This window comes from Homo sapiens, chromosome 19 (genome assembly GCF_000001405.40).
Source record: "Homo sapiens chromosome 19, GRCh38.p14 Primary Assembly".
Taxonomy (NCBI): Eukaryota; Metazoa; Chordata; class Mammalia; order Primates; family Hominidae; genus Homo; species Homo sapiens.
The window spans coordinates 48,415,339-48,435,810 of NC_000019.10; the positions used below are offsets into that span (position 1 = coordinate 48,415,339).

General features: G+C 49.7%; 1 protein-coding gene across 2 annotated transcripts in view, besides 4 other annotated features; it reads left to right on the forward strand.

The window, feature by feature from the left end:
- GRIN2D (glutamate ionotropic receptor NMDA type subunit 2D) overlaps positions 1-20,472 on the forward strand; it is a 51,264-nt gene that overhangs the window by 21,671 nt on the left and 9,121 nt on the right. For both annotated transcript variants that reach the window (NM_000836.4, XM_011526872.2), the window contains 4 exons: positions 664-817; positions 3,896-4,021; positions 4,247-4,476; positions 6,447-6,607. In NM_000836.4, the coding sequence (NP_000827.2) occupies positions 664-817; positions 3,896-4,021; positions 4,247-4,476; positions 6,447-6,607 (671 nt within the window). The remainder of the gene's footprint in view (positions 1-663; positions 818-3,895; positions 4,022-4,246; positions 4,477-6,446; positions 6,608-20,472) is intronic.
- Positions 3,329-4,095: an enhancer, noted in NCBI's record as "H3K4me1 hESC enhancer chr19:48921924-48922690 (GRCh37/hg19 assembly coordinates)". NCBI's record gives its function as "activates a minimal SCP1, AML or CMV promoter by ChIP-STARR-seq in naive H9 embryonic stem cells {active_cell/tissue: H9 hESC(naive)}" and the evidence as "EXISTENCE:reporter gene assay evidence [ECO:0000049][PMID:30033119]".
- Positions 3,846-4,085: an enhancer, noted in NCBI's record as "active region_14893". NCBI's record gives its function as "activates an Ori minimal core promoter by ATAC-STARR-seq in GM12878 lymphoblastoid cells {active_cell/tissue: GM12878}" and the evidence as "EXISTENCE:reporter gene assay evidence [ECO:0000049][PMID:35858748]".
- Positions 4,146-4,385: an enhancer, noted in NCBI's record as "active region_14894". NCBI's record gives its function as "activates an Ori minimal core promoter by ATAC-STARR-seq in GM12878 lymphoblastoid cells {active_cell/tissue: GM12878}" and the evidence as "EXISTENCE:reporter gene assay evidence [ECO:0000049][PMID:35858748]".
- Positions 9,474-9,768: an enhancer, noted in NCBI's record as "tiled region #8588; HepG2 Activating non-DNase unmatched - State 10:DNaseD, and K562 Activating DNase unmatched - State 5:Enh". NCBI's record gives its function as "activates a minimal TATA promoter and a strong SV40 promoter by Sharpr-MPRA in HepG2 and K562 cells {active_cell/tissue: HepG2 | K562}" and the evidence as "EXISTENCE:reporter gene assay evidence [ECO:0000049][PMID:27701403]".

Sequence of the window (20,472 nt, forward strand, 5' to 3'; positions counted from 1 at the left end):
CCAGCCTGGGCACAGAGTGAGACTCAGTCTCAAAAAATAATAATAAAAAAAAAGAGGTCGGCACCCTGGGGCAGGGGCGCGGCCAAATTGAGGAAACACCTGATTGGGGCCTGGGGCGGGGTCGCGGGAGGGACATGCCTTGGAACAGGGGGCGGGGTCAGGAGGTGTCAGGGGCGGGGTTTGGAGGAGGGACTTTGGAGCAGAGGAGGCGGGGCTAGGAGGGTGGGACTCCTAGGGGAAGGGGGCAGGGCTGGGAGGAGGGACTTTGGGGCAGTGGAGGCGGGGCTAGGAGGGTGGGACTCCTAGGGGAAGGGGGCGGGGCTGGGAGGAGGGACTTTGGTACAGAGGAGGAGGGGCCAGGAGGGTGAGAATCTAGGGGAAGAGGGTGGGGCTGGGAAGATCTGGACCAAGGCCTTGAGGTCTTGCTGGGAGCAGCCGGGTAGGACGCGGGCTACCAATTCCCAATCTTGTTCCCCATTTCTCACCTCCGCCCTTCCCTGCCCCACTCTTCGTCCCCCTCCTCACCCACCTCGCAATCCCTCTTGGCCCCTTCCCTCACCCTGTCACTGGTCTGCTCCCGGGGCCCGTCTCTGCTCGCCGTCCGTGTCAGTCTGTCCGCTTGAGCCGGGTTCCCCCGCCCACTCCTCATCGCCCCCACCCCAGGTGTTCTACCAGCGCGCAGACATGGCCATCGGCTCCCTCACCATCAACGAGGAGCGCTCCGAGATCGTGGACTTCTCCGTCCCCTTCGTGGAGACCGGCATCAGCGTCATGGTGGCGCGCAGCAATGGCACGGTGTCCCCCTCGGCCTTCCTCGGTAATCTGGGGCCCTGGGACAGGGAGCTAGCCCTAGGCAAAGTAGCCGTCCCCAACCGTGTGGGCCCTGGGATCAGAAAACCTGGGTTCCCGGTATCATCGGTACTTGAACCCGCTGTGCAACTTCGGTGAAGTGACATCATTTCTGAACCTCAGTTTCCTAATCTACAAGATGGAAGAAATAATTTCCCTACCCAGAAGACATTTCATCAAGAGGCTAAAGAAGCTTGAGCTCAGGAGCCTTCTCTTGCACTGCAGCTTCCAAGCCCTGCACCTGGTTTTGTATTCATAAGGTTGAATTATTTTTTCTCAAAGAGAGCCCTCCAAATTGTGCAAGCTTCAGGCCCCACAAAACCCAAGTGTTTTCCTGTACTAGGTATGAGATGAAGAGAACAAATTAGCATGGTACCAATACCTTGTAAGCACTTAAGTCACCATCAGTGTTTACTGAGCATCTACTATGTGCCAGGTGGTGGGCTCCACACTGGGAACACAGTGGCAAATGAGGAAGACACAAATCCCTGTCCAGTAGGATCTCTCAGCCTTGTGAAGGAGGCAGAAGATAAGCTTCTACTTCTCTCTCTCTCTCTCTTTTTTTTTTTTTCAGACAGAGTCTCACTCTGTCGCCCAGGCTGGAATGCAGTGGCACCATCTCGGCTCACTGCAACCTCAACCTGCCTCTCAGGTTTAAGCGATTCTCCTGCCTCAGCCTGCCAAGTAACTGGGATCACAGGCATGCACCACCACGCCTGGCCAATTTTTGTATTTTTAGTAGAGACGGGGTTTCACCATGGTGGCCAGCCTAATCTCAAACTCCTGACCTCAGGTGATCTGCCCACCTCAGCCTCCCAAAATGCTGGAATTACAGGCGTGAGCCACTGCACCCGGACAAGGGTTTTAACTACAGAAGATGGTGTGGGGATATATAATCAGATTTAAGTTTTTAAAATATCCAGCTCTGTGTAATCCCAGCTACTCCGGAGGCTGAGGTGTAAGGATGGCTTGAACCCAGGAGGCAGAGGTTGCAGTGAGCCAAGATGGCACCACCGCACTCCAGCCTGGATGACAGAGCCAGACCCTATCTCTAAAAAAGAACAAAGAAAAAAATCCCACTCTGTGGAAGCAAGTGGCTGGTGGGGATGCTACTGCAAGGTTTATGCCAGAGACAGAGTGGGGGTGTGCAATAGGAAGGTGACAGCAGACAGATGCAGGGTGTGGTTAGAGAGCTGCCCACCAGATGGGCTGGTGGCTTTGAGATGGATTGGGTAGAGGGACCATTGCTGAGCTGGAGAAGCGTACATCGGCCAAGGGCAACAGTGCTTGTCAGTTCCCACTTGCTCTCTGAAGTGTGAGCAAAGCTCCTGGGAGAGGGGAGGGGCTGGAAGAAGAGCCATCCCTTCCTTTGTGTTTTGTTTTCTGTTTATTTCGCCCAGTGGTGTCTCCTGTGGCCTCCCCTTTGCACCAAGGTCTCTGCAGGGCACACTGAGAAGCACCACGTGGGGCCCCTGCTTGCAGGCAGCACACTGCAGAGGAGTGACAAGGTCCTATTTATGCCCCACCAAGTTGCCCAGCAGAGGTGACAGGCGTGTCCCCAGCTGCCGCAGTGACAGTCCAGGGTGCTGACCTTGCTGTGACGGGGGCAGTCCTGACAGCTCACACTTGGCCCTGGAAAGTTGAATCACCTGGTCCTAATCTCAATGAAATGGTGATTTGGGTTTATTGTTGGTGAGCTCCCAGGGGCTAAACACAGTTATCGAATGTGAGGAGGGGACACATGAATGGGAGGTTGTCTAATGGACAGGGCAGGGTGTTAACTCTAGCAGGGACACCTAGGAGACAAGGAAGAGAGGGTGTCGCTGATTCAGGCACCTGCGAGTTCTTTTTTTTTTTTTTTTTTGAGACAGAGTCTTGCTCTGTCACCCAGGCTGGAGTGCAGTGGCACGATCTCAGCTCACTGCAACCTCCACCTCCTGGGTTCAAGCAATTCTCCTGCCTCAGCCTACTGAGTAGTTGGGACTACAGGCGCCCACCACGACACCCAGCTAATTTTGTATTTTTAGTAGAGATGGGGTTTCACCATGTTGGCCAGGCTGGTCTTGAACTCCTGACCTTAGGTGATCCTCCCACCTCGGCCTCCCAAAGTACTGGGATTACAGGCGTGAACCACCACACCCAGCCACCTGTGAGTTTTGAGTAAAGCATGGGTGCTTGAGAGAGTGATCAGGACAGAAAGGAGAGTGTGACAAGGCTGAGTGGCAGGGACTTTGTCCTGGGGGTGCTAGGGAGCCTGGGGAGGGCTGTAAGCAGGGGAGGGGCCAGGTCCTCTCTGTGCTGTGTGGGGGATAGGCTGTAGGGGACAGACAGGAGCTCAGGAGGCTGGGGAAATGGTTGGTGGGAGGAGATGAGGCCTGAGCCCTGTTGGCCATGAGAATGGAGAGGAGAGGCCCAAGTAGCATCAGGGGCAGGAGCGTGGGGCTGGATACTGACAGGCTGTGGCCAGCGAGGGAGAAGGAGGGAGGAAGGGAGGACGGCAAATGAGGTTTGGGCCTGTGACTGGGTGGATGGTGGGGCTCCCATCATGAGGAGCGTGGGAGCTGGTCTGGGCTCAGCATGGGACATGATGAATGGCCTGAGGAGATGGCTGGGGTAGGTGGAGGCTTGGGCCTGTGACTCAGGAAACATTTAGGAGACAGTTTCTATTTGGTGGCTGAAACCACAGAAATGCCTGCGACGGCTCTCTTTGAGAATGGCTGCCTCCTAGGGGTATGGGTGTGCCATAAGACTATCTTGGAGATGGAGAAGCAGAGATAGGGCCAGAATAGGATGGGGTCAGATCTGGGCTGCACCTTGTTCCCTGCTGGTAGTACCCTAGGGTTTTTTTTCTTTCTTTTTTCTTCCTTTTTTTTTTTTGTAGAGACAGGGAGTTCAAGGCCAGTCTGGTCTTGAACTCCAGGCGTCAAGTGATCCTCCTGCCTCAGCCTCCCAAAGTTCTGGGAGTACAGGCGTGAGGCACCGCCCCAGCCTGATCCCCGAGTCTTTTGCTTGGCTGAGCCATAACCACGCACTCCCTTGTCCCCAGAGCCCTACAGCCCCGCCGTGTGGGTGATGATGTTCGTCATGTGCCTCACTGTGGTCGCCGTCACTGTTTTCATCTTCGAGTACCTCAGTCCTGTTGGTTACAACCGCAGCCTGGCCACGGGCAAGCGTGAGTCCCCCTTCCTCCATCCCCCGCCTCGGAGATCCCGAACCACAGAGACAGAGAACTACATTTCCCAGCAGCCCCTGGAGGGGGGGCGGTCAAGCTAGGGCCTCTCGGGAGGTGCCAGATGCCTTGAGGGCCACTGGGAATTGTAGTTCTTTCTTTTTTTTTTTTTCCCTTCCTTATTGAGAAGGGATTTGGGGTCCATGTCCACGTCCTGGCCCCCTGCAGGCCCTGGCGGTTCAACCTTCACCATTGGGAAATCCATCTGGCTGCTCTGGGCCCTGGTGTTCAATAATTCGGTGCCCGTGGAGAACCCCCGGGGAACCACCAGCAAAATCATGGTGCTGGTGTGGGCCTTCTTCGCCGTCATCTTCCTCGCCAGCTACACAGCCAACCTGGCCGCCTTCATGATCCAGGAGGAGTACGTGGATACTGTGTCTGGGCTCAGTGACCGCAAGGTGTGTGTGGGCCCAGGGCTGGGCTGGAGCTGGGGCTGGGGCTGGAGGTCACAGAGCTTGTCATGTGGTAGATTAGAGGGGATTCTTGCGGGGGGCGGGGGTGAGAGGGGTGGGGGGAGGGCGGGAAGGGGTCTCTTCCCAAGGAGAATTCCAGAATGGTAGAATGGAATGTTGTGGATGAAGAAAGAACACGGTTCACGATGAGCTATTTAAAATATTCCTAGGGAAGAGGGTGTCCCTGAATGTTCTAGGGGCAGTTGTGTCAAATAGGATATTCTAGAACCAGTGCTTCTCTCAAACTGTGAGGAAGGATTAATTTTTGAAACTTCTAAGGCTGGGCGCGGTGGCTCACACCTGTAATCCCAGCACGTTGGGAGGCCGAGGCGGGCGGATCACGAGGTCAGGAGATCGAGACCATCCTGGCTAACACGGTGAAACCCCGTCTCTTCTAAAAGTACATAAAATTAGCCGGGCGTGGTGACAGGCACCTGTAGTCCCAGCTACCCGGGAGGCTGAGGCAGGAGAATGGCGTGAACCCAGGAGGCAGAGCTTGCAGTGAGCCGAGATCGCCCCACTGCACTCCAGCCAGCGCGACAGAGTTAGACTCTGTCTCAAAAAAACAAAAAACTGCTAGTCCATTGCAGACAATGCTTTTGTAAAATTCAACGGAAATGAATTATTAGAAAAGTAAAATAAGATCTAAAACCAAGACAGACAAAAGTCAAACCTGGCCAGGAACGGTGGCTCACGCCTGTAATCCCAGCACTTTGGGAGGCCGAGGTGGGTGGATCACCTGAGGTCAGGAGTTCGAGACCAGCCTGGCCAACATAGTGAAACCTCGTCTCTAATAAAAATACAAAAATTAGCCAGGCGTGGTAGTGGGTGCCTGTAGTCCCAGCTACTTGGGAGGCTGAGGCAGGAGAATCGCTTGAACCCGGGAGGCGGAGGTTACAGTGAGCCATGATTACGCCACAAATAGAACTGATTCCTAGCCTGGGTGACAGAGCGAGACTCTGCCTAAAAAAAAGCCAAACTCACATTTTTATTTATTAGATTCAACAGACGAAAAAGAATTCTGTCAAATCACTCTAAATGCTCACTCTCTCCATTCCTGTACACATCTCACTGCAATCACCGTTTGTTGAGGGACTGGTGGTTTGCAGAGCATACTTTGAGACTAAAGTGATTAACTAGCTGGGTGTCATGACCTATTAGAGGCTTGAGAAATCAGTTTGATGGGTTGCAATAAGCATTTTTTAATGGAATGGAGTAGAATAGAATAGTTGCCTGCATCTTATGTATAAGTTTGGTTTTACAAAACTTGTTTTAGTTGTCTGGGCGCGGTGGCTTATGCCTGTAATCCCAGCACTTTGGGAGGCCAAGGCGGGCGGATCACCTGAGGTTGGTAGTTCGAGACCAGCCTGACCAACATGGAGAAACCCCATCTCTACTAAAAATACAAAACTGGCTGGGCATGGTGGTATGTGCCTGTAATCCCAGCTACTCGGGAGGCTGAGGCAGGAGAATCAGTTGAACCTGGGAGGCGGAGGTTGCAGTGAGCTGACAGTGTGCCATTGCACTCCAGCCTGGGCAACAAGAGCAAGACTCCGTTTAAAAAAAAAAAAGTGAACTATTTCTGAACGGATTGGTAAATAGCAACAGCTCCCAGCTCCTGCCATGCCAGCCTCTACTCCCAGGACCTCCCGCGATTCAGTAAGTGAAGACTTAACACCTGGCACATCAGGGGCCTCAGGGAGGCTTCTCGTGAACTTTTGGATCACGTGTCTGCAACCGTGTGTGCTGGGTGGGAGTGGAAAAGCATTCCCTAATGTAGTGAGCGAGTGTTGAGAAATATTGAACACTCCTGGGACTGGGGTGTCTGCCAGATAGCGGGTGTGTCTCAGAATGGGTGATTTATGTTAGGGATGTCCCTGCGGAGGGTGCCCTAATCACTCCCCATTCTGCCCCAGTTCCAGAGGCCCCAGGAGCAGTACCCGCCCCTGAAGTTTGGGACCGTGCCCAACGGCTCCACGGAGAAGAACATCCGCAGCAACTATCCCGACATGCACAGCTACATGGTGCGCTACAACCAGCCCCGCGTAGAGGAAGCGCTCACTCAGCTCAAGGCAGGGTCAGCGCAGACTCGGGCCGGGGGTGGGGGTTGGGCCGCTGGGGACCTGAGGATGCTCAAAGATGGCAAGGGGTCCAGGTTCATTCATTCAGTCCCAGAGGTCAGCCCTGGGTGGGTCAGCTTGGAGGGCGGAGGTCACTGAGGGTGGAAGTGGACTCCTCCTCCCAGGAGCAGGCTCCTTGGGATATTTTCTGGGATGCAGTATTTCTGGATTCTGGGGTGAGACTGATGGGGCTCAAATCTTTGCTCTTCCCCTTCTTGGCTTTGTGACCTTGGGCAAGTTACTCAGCCTCTCTGAACCTCTGTTTCCTCCTCTGTAAAATGAGGATAACAAGAGTATCCCCACTGTAATGATCATAAGGTTGTTACAAGAATTATACTAGTAAGCCGGGCACGGTGGCTCATGCCTGTAATCCCAGCACTTTCAGAGGCCAAGGCAGGCGGATCACAAGGTCAGGAGATCGAGACCATCCTGGCCAACATGGTGAAACCTGGTCTCTACAAAAAATACAAAAATTAGCTGGGCGTGGTGGCACGCGCCTGTAGTCCCAGATACTTGGGAGGCTGAGGCAGGAGAATCGCTTGAACCTGGGAGTCGGAGGTTGCAGTGAGCCGAGATCATGCCACTGCACTCCAGCCTGGCGACAGAGCGAGACTCCGTCTCAAAAAAAAAAAAAAGAATTAAACTAGTTAGTCCACTCAGAACATTTATTTATTTATTTAGAACAGTGCCCGGTGCACTATAGGTGTTTGCTGATATTATCATTATCATTAGACCTGAACTCACTGGAATCAATGCTTAGATTGTGTTTCTTATCTTTTTACATCCCTTTCCCAAATCATAGGGATGAAGTTAAATTCAGAGGCCAGGCGCAGTAGCTCACGCCTATAATCCCAGCACTTTGTGAGGCGGAGACGGGCAGATCACTTCAGGTCAGGAGTTGGAGACCACCTGGCCAACATAGTGAAACCCCATCTCTACTTAAAATACAAAAATTAGGCTGGGTGCGGCAACAGGCTCTTGGGAGGCCGAGACGGGCAGATCATTTGAGGTCAGGAGTTTGAGAACAGCCTGGCCAACATGATGAAACCTTGTCTCTACTTAAAATACAAAAATTAGCCGGGCGTGGTGGCGGGCGCCTGTAATCTCAGCTGCTTGGGAGGCTGAGGCAGGAGGATCGCTTGAATGCAGGAGGCGGAGGTTGCAGTGAGCCGAGACTGTGCCATTGCACTCCAGCCTGGGCAACAGAGACAGACTCCGTCTCAAAAAGAAAACAATACAAAAAAAGTTGAGTTCAGGCCCCAAAGTGCAGCCCACGAATACAACAAGGCTGAGCACAGTAACTCTCTCCCCGTCCTGCATTTACTCAGTCCTTCCGTGTGCATTTTTCTTATCCTCTGCTGTACGCTAAGCGGTGAACAAATAGACCCGATTCCTAGGTCTAGAGGTGGGAAATGAACAATAAACATGCAAACAGAAAAATCAAGATCTCTTCAGAAAGTGATGGTGAGCTAGAGGGCGGCAGGGCTGGGATATTTTCACCAGGGTGTTCAGGGTGGGCTTCTCGGAGGAGGTGACATTTGTGCAGAGCCCTGCAGGAGGTGAAAGAGCTAGCCAGGTGGACTTCCGGAAGCAGAGCCTTCAGACGGAGGGAACAGAGTGTGCAAAGGGCCTGAGGAAGGTGCAGTGTTGGTTTACTGGAGGAACAGCAAGAAGGCCAGTGTGGTTGAAGGGCAAGGAGCTGAGGTGAGAGAGTAGATGAGGGGAGGATTCTGGGCATGAGGCCAAGGTCAGGGCTGGACTTTATGCTAAAGGCGGTGAGAAGCCTTGAGGTGTGGAGATTTTACGTAAGGAAGGGTATGATCTGATTTCTGTTTTTGTTTGTTTTGAGACAGGATCTCACTCTGTTGCCCAGGCTGGAGTGCAGTAGTTCGATCTCAGCTCACTGCAACCTCCGCCTTCCCTGGGTTCAAGCAATTCTCCCACCTCAGCCTCCTGAGTAGCTGGGATTACAGGCGTGCACTACTATGCCTGGCTAATTTTTGTATTTTTGGTAGAGATGAGGTTTCACCATGTTGGTCAGGCTGGTCTTGAACTCCTGACATGAGGTGATCTGCCTGCCTCAGCCTCCCAAAGTGCTGGGATTAGAGGCGTGAGCCACCATGCCTGGCTTAAAAAAATTTCTAATGCCCAATGCAGTGGCTCACACCTGTAATCCTAAAGCTTTGTGAGGCCAAGGTGAGAGGATCACTTAAGACCAGGAGTTCAAGACCAGCCTGTGAAACATAGTGAGACCCCCTTGACTCACAAAAAAAAAAATTTTTTTTTTTTTTTTTTTTTTTGAGACAGAGTCTCGCTCTGTTGCCCAGGCTGGAGTGCAGTGGCACAATCTCGGCTCACTGCAAGCGCCGCCTCCCGGGTTCACGCCATTCTCCTGCCTCAGCCTCCCGAGTAGCTGGGACTACAGGCGCCCACCACCACGCCCAGCTAATTTTTTGTATTTTTAATAGAGACGGGGTTTCACCGTGTTAGCCAGGATGGTCTCGATCTCCTGACCTCGTGATCCACCCGCCTCAGCCTCCCAAAGTGCTGGGATTACAGGCGTGAGCCACCGCGCCTGGCTGGAAATTACTTTTAATAATATATTTTACCTAACTATGTCCAAAATATTATTTTGACACGTAATCAGTATAAACATGGGTGAGACCGTTTACATAATTTTTTTCCCCACACGCTGTCTTTGATATCTGTGGCATTTTACACTCACAGCACATCTAGGTTCAGAGTGACCACATTTCAAGTGATCCACAGCCCTAGTGGCGTGTCACTGCTGCACTGGACCGCCCAGGTCGACATCACCCAAATGCAAAAAGTTTCCTAGTCAACATAATGAACAGAAAATATAAAAGGGCGCTGGCCGCCCCCCAGGACCCTGGGACTTTTTCACTTCCTTACTCACCCAGAGCATTCTCCCCAGCCAGCCTGCTGACTCATCTCTCCCCCTTCCCCCTTCTTCCGTTTTCTTCTCGCCAGCCCTTCCCTCCAGGAAGGACCCTGAGAATTCCAGATTCTCTCTTCTCTCTCTCTCTCTCTCTCTCACACAAAACAGGGTGCCTTTCCAGGCTGCCACCTCCCACCTCTGCTTCACTTGCGCCTTCCTCAGAAGGCAGGGATGGCTGCAAACAGAATCACTTTCCTCTTTTACCCCTTCAGGGATACCTCACACTGCCAGCCTGCTCAGTCCTTGCAGTGGGAGAGCAAGAATTCAGAGACTCTCAGTGGGCGGGCGGGGGGGATCCCATTTTCTTTTTTTGAGATGGAGTCTCGCTCTGTTGCCCAGGCTGGAGTGCAGTGCTGCAATCTCGGCTCACTGCAACCTCCGCTTCCCGGGTTCAAGCGATTCTCCTGCCTCAGCCTCCCGAGTATTTGGGATTACAGGCATATACCACCATCCCCGGCTAATTTTTCTATTTTTAGTAGACATGTGATTTCACTATGTTGGTCAGGCTGGTCTTGAACTCCTAACCTTAAGTGATTCACCTGCTTCGGCCTCCCAAAGTGCTGGGATTACAGGCGTGAGCCACCGTATCCAGCGGATGGCACTTTCCAAATCTACTTGGTTCCCAAGTTTTGGATAGCAAGTGGTGAGAATGTGACTAGCAAGACAGACCAGCCCCATCTCTCAAAATGAACCTAAATCTGTCCCCGCCTTGAGTTCAGAGAAAGCAGGATACCTGTATTTTTTTTCCCATACAAATGTCAGCCACATCACCAGCCTTTAATAAGTAAAAATAGCTGAGGCCTCATCCCGTGTCTTTTTATAGATATTTTTCATCTTTTTTTTATTGAGATATATACATAGATACAGTGAGGTACAGTGAGGTACAAAAAGCGTGCAACTCATTATTTATACATTCATAGACATCCATGTGACCAGGTCCAGATTAAGGTATGGTGAATTTCCCGGCTTCTCATAAAGCTTCCCCTGCCCCTCCAGTCACCATAGAATATCATATAATTAGTTTTGCCTGATTTTGAACGTCCTCTAAACAGAATCAAACAGTGCATATAATACCTTCCTGTCTGGCTTATTTTCCTCAGTGTTATCACCAGATTGTTCCTTCATTGCTGAATACCGTTGAGTATACCATTATATAAATATACCATAATTCTTTCATTCTACTGCTGGTGGACATTCAGGTTATTGCCAGTGTTTGGCCATTATGAATATTGCTTTTTTTCTTTTCTCTTCTTTCTTTTTCTTTCTTTCTTTCTTTCTTTTTTTTTTTTTTTTTCTGAAACAGAGTCTCTCTCTATTGCCCAGGCTGGAGTGCAGTTGCGCGATCTCGGCTCACTGCAATCTCCGTCTCCTGGGTTTGAGCGGTTCTCCTGCCTCAGCCTCCCAAGTTGCTGGAATTACAGGCGCCTGCCACCACGCCCAGCTAATTTTTGTATGTTTAGTAGAGATGGGGTTTCACCATCTTGGCCAGACTGGCCTCAAACTCCTGACCTCAGGTGATCCAACCGCCTTGGCCTCCAAAAGAGCTGGGATTACAGGCATAAGCCATCATGCCTAGCTGAATATTCTCTTTTTTAAACATGTGTAATTGCCTCTTTTTTTTTTATTTTTTATTTTTATTTATTTATTTATTTTTTCAGACAGAGTTTTCCTCTGTTGCCCAGACTGGAGTCCAGTGGTGCAATCTCTGCTCACTGCAACCTCCACCTCCCAGGTTCAGGCGATTCTCCTGCCTCAGTCTCCTGAGCAGGTGGGATTACAGGCACACACCACCATGCCCGGCTAATTTTTGTATTTTTAGTAAAGACGGGGTCTCACCATGTTGGCCAGGCTGGTCTCAAATTCCTGACCTCAAGTGATCTGCCCACCTCGGACTCCCAAAGTGCTGGGATTACAGGCGTGAGCCACCACACCTTGGCCCATTATGAATATTCTACTATGAACATTCTTGTACAAGTGTTTGGGGGACATACACATTCCTTTTCCTTGGTTGTATTCCCATAGGTGGAACTACCCGGTCATAGGGAGAGTATGCTTAGCTATAACAGATACTGTCAGACATCTTCCAAAACAGTTAGGCACAGTGGCTCATGCCTGTAATCCCAGCACTTTGGGAGGCTGAGGCAGGCAGGTCACTTGAAGTCAGGAGTTCGAGACCAGCCTGGCCAACATGGCGAAACCCTGTCTCTACAAAAAAATACAAAAATTAGCCAGGTGTGCTGGCAGGCACCTGTAATCCCAGCTACTCAGGAGGCTGAGGTAGGAGAACTGCATGAGCCCTGGAGGCAGAGGTTGCAGTGAGCCAAGACCACACCACTGCACTCCAGCCTGGCTGACAGAGTGAGACTCCCTCTCAAAACAACAAAACAAAACAAAACAACAACAACAAAAATCCAAAGTGGTTGTACCAATTTACACTCTCATCAGCAATGCAAGAGAGTTCTACTTGTTCCATATCCTTCTTGCCTCCTTGCCAGGGCTTGGGATCATTCCTATATCTTCTTTTCTTTTTTTTTTTTTTTTTTTTTTTTTGAGACAGAGTCTCACTCTGTTGTCCAGGCTGGAGTGCAGTGGCGCGATCTCGGCTCACTACAACCTCCGCCTCCTGGGTTCAAGCAATTCTCTGCCTCAGCCTCCTGAGTAGCTGGGATTACAGGCATCTGCCACTATGCCCGGGTAATTTTTGTATTTTTAGTAGAGATGGGGTTTCACCATCTTGGCCAGGTTGATCCACCTTGAACTCTTGACCTTGTGATCCGCCCGTCTCGGCCTCCCAAAGTGCTGGGATTACAGGCGTGAGCCACCCTCCTTGGTCTACTCCTGTATCTTTTTAATTTACTTTGATGTTTATTATATATCAAGTCCTGTTCTAACTAATTTAAGTTCACAATTAGTTTGCAAAAAATTAATCAAATCAATGTTTTGATTCATAGTCCTGGAGGCTAGGCATCCTCTTGGCTCCTTCAGAGGGCTGTGAGGGAAGGATCTGTCCAGGCCTGCCTCTCCTTGGCTGTTGACTCTTGATCCCTGTATCTCTTCCCATCATCTTCCCTCTGTTTGTGTCTCTGTGGCCAAGTTCTTTTTTTTTTTTTTTTTTGAGATGGAGTGTTGCCCAGGCTGGAGTGCAGTGACATGATCTCGGCTCACTGCAACCTCTGCCCTCTGGGTTCAAGTGATTCTCCTGCCTCAGCCTCCTTAGTAGCTGGTATTATAGGCATCCGCCACCACGCCTGGCTAATTTTTGTATTTTTAGCAGAGATGGGTTTTTGCCATGTTGGCCAGGCTGGTCTCGAACTCCTGACCTCAGGTGATATACCCACCTCAGCTTCCCAAAGTGCTGGGATTACAGGTGTGAACCACCGAACCCAGTCAAGCTCCCCCCTCCCCCTCCCCGCTTTTTTTTTTTTTAATTGAGACGGACTTTCACTCTTGTTGCCCCGGCTGGAGTGCAGTGGCACAATCTCGGCTCACTGCAACCTCCACCTCCCGGGTTCCAGTGATTCTCTTGCCTCAGCCTCCCTCCTGTAGCTGAGATTACAGGCGTGTGCCACCAAGCCCCGCTAATTTTTGTATTTTTAGTAGAGACGGAGTTTCACCATATTGCTCAGGCTGGTCTCAAACTCCCATCCTCAGGTGATCCGCCTGCCACGGCCTCCCAAAGTGCTTGGATTACAGGCGTGAGCCACTGCGCCCGGCCCAAGTTCCCCTTTTTATAAGGACACTAGTCATACTGGATTAGAGCCCACCTTAATGATCTCATTTTAACTGGATTCCCTCTGCAGAGGCCCTATATACAAATAAGGTCGCATTCTGAAGTACTAGGGGCTAGGACTTCAATATGTGAATTTGGTGAGGGAACACAACTAAACCCTTAAGACCTCATAAAAAATCTTAGGTGGGTATGATTGGAAACATGAGGAGCAGCAAGCTTCTTGCATCTGCTAAGTGGCAGAACTAGGACTGGAACCCTGGCAGCCCAGTTCTACAGCCCAGGTTCTCACCACTAGGCTATATTGCCTCACATGTGCACTGAGTAACCCAGAATCACTCCTTTTGTCCCCCTCCCTAGAAGCTTCATGATTCACAAAGGACACCCCTGTGTTTCTCATTGTCATCTCTTGCTCTAATTTCCTGCTTCTGCTGAATTCTTTTTCTCCAGTATCCCTTGTTACTTTTTCTTTTTTTTCTAATTTTTAGTTCTATATTTATCAGAGTTCTCCATCCACATAGTTTGGAGAGTCAGATACAAGAATTTCAGTTTAGTTTAGTTTGGTTTGGGAGTCAAGGTCGCACTCTGTCACCCAGGCTGGAGTGCAGTGGCATAGTCACAGCTCATTGCAGCCTCAAGCTCCTGGGCTCAAGTGATCCTCCCGCCTTAGCCTCCCAAGCAGCTGGGACTACAGGTGTGCACCCCCACATCTGATTAATTTTATTTTATTTATTTATTTTTTTGAGATGGAGTCTTGCTTTGTCACCCAGGCTGGAGTGCAGTGGCGTGATCTTGGCTCACTGCAACCTCTGCCTCCTGGGTTCAAGTGATTCTCCTGCCTCAGCCTCCTGAGTAGCTGGGATTACAGAAGCCTGCCACCACGCCCAGCTAACTTTTGTATTTTCAATAGAGACAGGGTTTCGCCACGTTGGCCAGGCTGGTCTCGAACTCCTGACCTAGGTAATCTGCCCACCTCGGCCTCCCAAAGTGCTGGGATTACAGGCATGAGCCACCGGGCCCGGCCTAATTTTAATTTTTTAATGTGTGTGTGTGTGTGTGTGTGTGTAGAGATGGGGTTCTCACTATGTTGCTTAGGCTGGTCTTGAATTCCCAGGCTCAAGTGATCCTCCTGCCTCAGCCTCCCAAAGCACCAGGATTACGGGCACGAGCCACCGTGCCTGGAAAGAATTTTATCTTTAAGGAAAAAAATGGCACCCTCCATTTCTCTCAGCCCAGAGGAATCTACTTTCACCTTGTTTATTGTATCACTTTGTGATTTATCTCCCTATCTCTAAATACCATGTTTGCATGACTACCTCTTGATTTTTCAATTTTAGGCATTTTTCCATCCGCTTCTCACTATGGAAGACATACTCATACTCTTATTTAAATCAATTCAGCCTCCCACATTGTGACTCTGACAGATGAATATTCAGTGTTTACATGTTATGACTATGTAAATGCTCTCACAGCTGCCACAGTAGTAAACCGTGATTACTTTCCTCTCCTACACAATTCTTTGTTTTTCTTTCTTTTTTTTCTTGAGACAGGGTCTCACTATGTTGCCCAGGCTGGAGTGCAGTGGCGTGATCTTGGCTCACTGCAATCTGTGCCTCCCAGGTTCAAGTGATTCTCCTGCCTCAGCCTCCCGATTAGCTGGACTACAGGCGTGCGCCACTGCGCCTGGCTAATTTTGGTAATTTTAGTAGAGGTGGGGTTTCACCATGTTGGCCAGGCTGGTCTCAAACTCCTGACCTCAAGTGATTGGCCTGCCTCAGCCTCCCAAAGTGCTACGATTACAGGCGGGAGCCATAGCTCCCAGCTGATAGGGGGTTTCACCATGTTGGCCAGGCTGGTCTCAAACTCCTGAGCTCAAGGGATCTGCCCACCTCAGCCTCCCAAAGTGTTGGGATTACAGGTGTGAGCCACCATGCCTGGTCTATTTTTCTTGAGGTTAGTAACTGTCTTTTTTCTTTTTCTTTCCTTTTTCAGTTGCTTCATGGCTGTGTTTTCTTTGTGGTTAACTAATTCAAACCCAAATTATCTGTTTACTGTCTAAATCTCTTCTTGGTATGTTCAGAAGTATATTAATATACTTAATATGTTAGAAGTATCAGATACTCTGTTAATTTCTTTTTTCTTTTTTCTTTTTTTTTTTTTTTTGAGACAGGGTCTCTCTCTGTCACTCAGGCTGGAGCACAGTGGCACGATCTTGGCTCACTGCAGCCTCTGCCTCCTGGGTTCAAGCGATTCTCATGCCTCAGCCTCCCAAATAGCTGGGATTACAGTCGTGCACCACCACGCCCAGCTAATTTTTGTATTTTTTGTAAAGTGGGGTTTCGCCATATTGAAGAGCTTGGTCTCAAATTCCTGGCCTCAAGTAATCTGTTCACCTCGGCCTCCCAAGTGCTGGGATTACAGGTGTGAGCCACTGTGCCTGGCCTTGTCAATTTCATCTTATTGAAGAAGTTGCTCTTATGGCCTTCTGGCCTGCTCCAGCCTGGGCATAGCCGCCATCTTGGGATCACCTTTCACCTTCATCCCTTCATCTCTGGTTTGGATCCTGTTGTAGCACAAATTCTAACTCTTTCTGGGTTTTGCTTCCTTGTTCTTTTGAGCTTCCTGACAGAGGCACATAGCGGGTATATTTTTGGAGACATTGCAAATCTGAAAAGTCTTTTTTTCTGTCCTTGTACTTGATGGACAGTCAGGCTGGGTATAGAATTCTGCATTAGAGCTCATTTTCCTTCAGAATTTGGAAGAGTCACTCTATTGTTTTCTAATATCCAGTGCTACTGTAGAGAAATCCAAGATCATTCTGATTCCTATGCCTTTGTATGTAACCTGTTGTTTCTTTTCCTTGTCCTTGGTGGACTGACATTTATCAGTGACATGCCTTGATCTGTTTCCCTTTTTTTTTTTTTTTTGAGACGGAGTTTCACTCTTGTTGCCCAGGCTGGAGTGCAATGGCACGATCTCAGCTCACTGCAACCTCCACCTCCCAGGTACAAGCAATTCTCCTGTCTCAGCCTCCCAAGCAGCTCCGATTACAGGCATGTGGCACCATGCCCAGCTAATTTCTTTGTATTTAGTAGAGATGGGGTTTCACCATGTTAGTCAGGCTGGTTGCAAACTTCTGACCTCAGGTGATCCACCCGCCCCAGCCTCCCAAAGTGCTGGGATTATAGGTGTGTGCCACCGCGCCCGGCCTGCTTTCCTTTCTTTTCTTTTATCTTTTCTTTATTTTTTATTTTTTTGAGACAGAGTCTTGCTCTGTCACCAGGCTGAAGTGCAGTGGCGTGATCTTGGCTTACTGCAACCTCTGCCTCCCGGGTTCAAGCCATTCTCCTGCCTCAGCCTACCGAGTAGCTGGACTACAGGTGCCCACCACCAAGCCCAGCTAATTTTTGTATTTTTAGTAGAGACGGGGTTTCACCGTGTTGGCCAGGATGGTCTCGATCTCCTGACCTTGTGATCCGCCTGCCTCAGCCTCCCAAAGTGCTGGGATTACAGGCGTGAGCCACCGCACCCGGCCTTCTTTTTCTTTCTTTTTTTTTTTTTTTAGAGGCAGGTTCTCATTATGTTTTCCAGGCTGGTCTTGAACTCCTGGGCTCAAGCGATCCTCCTGCCTTGGCTTCCCAAAATGCTGGGATTACAGGCATGAGCCATGCGCATGGCCATTGATCTGTTTCCGTTGCTGGGTCTTTCAATCGTATTCTCATGTCATTTGTTCTGAGAAAATTTCTTGAATTTTCTTAAATTCTTTTATGTACAATATCTCCCTCTCCTTCATTTCTCTGTTTGTTTATTTATTTATGTTTAGAGACAGGGTCTCACTCTGTTCCCCAGGCTAGAGTGCAGTGAGGCAATCATAGCTCACTGCAGCCTTGACATCCTGGGCTCAAGCAATCCTCTCGCCTCAGCCTCCCGAGTAGCTTGGACTACAGGTGTGTGCCACTTTCGTGTAGAGACGGGGGTCTCACTATGTTGCCCAGGCTGCTCTTGAACTCCTAGGATCAAGCGATCCTACCACCTTGGCCTCCAAAAGTGTTAGGATTACAGGTGTGAGGCACCATGCCTGGCCAGAAACTGGACTTTCTTTTTTTTTTTTTTTATTTCATTTTGCTTTTTTTTGAGACAGAGTCTTGCTCTGTCACCCAGGCTGGAGTGCAGTGGCACGATCTCTGCTCACTGCAACCTCCACCTCCCGGGTTCAAGTGATTCTCCTGCCTCAGCCTCCCGAGTAGCTGGTTCTACAGGCGCCCGCAACCATGCCCAGCTAATTTTTGTATTTTCAGTAGAGGTGGGGTTTCACCATGTTGGCCAGGCTGGTCTTGAACTCCTGACCTCAAATGATCCACCCACCTCAGCCTCCCAAAGTGCTGGGATTACAGGCGTGACACCACCTGCAATACAGGTGCAATGGCTCACACCTGTAATCCCAGCACTTTGGGAGGACGAGAAGGGCGGATTGCCTGAGGTCAGGAGTTCAAGACCAGCCTGACCAACATGGTGAAACCCCATCTCTACTAAAAATACAAAAATTAGCCGGGCATGATGGTGGGCGCCTGTAATCCCAGCTACTCGGGAGGCTGAGGCAGAATCGCTTGAACCCGGGAGGTGGAGGTTGCAGTGAGCTGAGACCAGCACATTGCACTCCAGCCTGGGCAACAATAGCATAACTCTATCTCAAAAATAAAAATAGAAAATAAAGAATAAATAAATAAAATTTAAATGCAAATAGCCATATGTGGCGAGCTAGTGGTTGCCATAGAGGACAGCACTAGAAAATTCCATCTTTACAGTGAGGCACAAGGGAGAGGCAGCTCCCAGGGCTCTGGCCGGCTCGCAGGCCAAACGTGGGCTCACCCTACCGCTTCCGGCAAGTAACCCCACAGGGGGAGAAAGGAAATGCACGTCCTAAAAAGAAATAGAGAAACACAGCTTCTCCTCCCAGCCAGTTCTTGGTGCCCTTTCCATGAGAGATGTGCAATTTCTCACTCACTCAAGAGGGGCAAAAAAGGAAATATCAAGGCCCCTTTCCGTAATGTAAGCATTATTTTTTTTTCTTTTGGATCAATTAAAATATGGATGCATTCACACTCACACATTCCAAACTAACAGTACACACTGTTCTCATCTTGCCTTTTTCCACGGAGAAAGCCCTTTTGGCATCTTTTCTGTGTTAATGGAATCCTACTTCTCAGCTCCAGTGTCTGGGCCATGGAAGGCCTCCCTTGGACCAGTCTGAGTTTACTCATTTGGCCGCTTCTTTTCTTTTTTTTTTTTTTTGAGATGGAGTCTCGCTCTGTTGCCCAGGCTGGAGTGCAGTGGCGCGATCTCGGCTCACTGCAGGCTCTGCCTCCCGGGTTCATACCATTCTCCTGCCTCAGCTTCCCGAGTAGCTGGGACTACAGGCGCCCGCCACCTCATCCAGCTAATTTTTTGTATTTTTTTAGTAGAGACGGGGTTTCACCGTGTTAGCCAGGATGGTTTAGATCTCCTGACCTCGTGATCCGCCTGCCTCCGCCTCCCAAAGTGCTGGCATTACAGGCACAAGCCACCGCGCCTGGCGGCCGCTTCTTCTATTTTCTTTTGAGATGCAGTCTCGCTCTGTCACCCAGGCTGGAGTGCAGTGGTGTGATCTCAGCTCACTGCAACCTCCACCTCCTGGGATCAAGTGATTCTCCTGCCTCAGCCTCCCGAGTAGCTGGAACTACAGGCACACGCAACCACACCCAGCTAGTTCTTTTTATTTTTAGTAGAGATGGGGTTTCACCATATTGGCCAGGCTGGTCTTGAACTTCTGACCTGAGATGATCCGCCCACCTCAGCCTCCCAAAGTGTTCTTGGGATTACAGGCGTGAGCCACCATGCCTGGCCCACTTCTTTTCTTTTCTTTCGAACTTCTTTTTTAAAAATTTTTAATTGTATTTTTTTTTTTACAGATGGTCTCACTATGTTGCCCAGGCTGGTCTCAAACTCCTGGCCTCAAGCAATCCTCCCACCTTGGCCTCCCAAAGCGATGGGATGACAAGCTTGAGTGACCACTCCCTACCTGAACTTTTGTTAAATTTATTCCTAAATATTTTATTTTATTTTATTTTTTATTTTTTTGCCAGTGTCAAACTCCTGACCCCAAGGAATCTGCTGGCCTCAGCCTCCCAAAGTGCTGGGATTATAGGCATGAGCCACCGCACCCAGCCTGGAATTGTTTTAATTTCATTTTAATTGTTCATTGCTAGTATATAGGAATATAATTTATTTCACATATTTTGTAATTTATTTCGTATATTGATCTTGTATCATGAACCTTGTTGAACTTCTATTAGCCATAATAATTTTTATTGTGGATCCTTTGGGATTTTTCTATATACAATTCTATTAATTCGCTAGGGCAGCCATAACAAAATACCATAGACTGAGTGGCTTACACAACAGAAATGTATCGCCCCACAGTTGTAGAGGCTAGAAGGTCAAAATCAAGGTGTCGGCAGTGATGGCTCCTTTTGAGGGCTGTGGGAGGACCTCTTCCAGACCTTCCTCCTTGGCTTGTAAAAAGCTGCCGTCTTCCTCTGTCTCTTCACCTTGTCTACCCTTTAAGTGCCCATTCAGCCACTTGTTTTTTTTTTTTTTTTTTTGAGACGGAGTCTTGCTCTTGCTCCATTGCCCGGGCACCATCTCAGCTCACTGCAACGTCCGCCTCCCAGGTTTAAACAATTCTCCTGCCTCAGCCTCCCAAGTAGCTGAGATTACAGGCGTGTGCCACCACACCTGACTAATTTTTGTATTTTTAGTAGCAACAGGGTTTCGCCATGTTGGCCAGGCTGGTCATGAACTTCTGAACTCAGGTGATCCGCTCGAGGTTCAAGCAATTCTCCTGCCTCAGCCTCCCGAGTGGCTGAGATTACAGGCACATGCCACCACACCCGGCTAATTTTTGTATTTTTAGTAGAGATGGGGTTTCACTATGTTGGCCAAGCTGGTTATGAACTCCCGACCTCAGGAGATCCGTGCCCCGGGCGGCCTCCCAAAGTGCTGGGGTTAGAAGCATGAGCCACCACACCCAGCCGTCCAGCCATTTCTTAGTAAGCACCTAGTGTGTGCTAGGCACTGTTCTAGACCCTGTGGATACA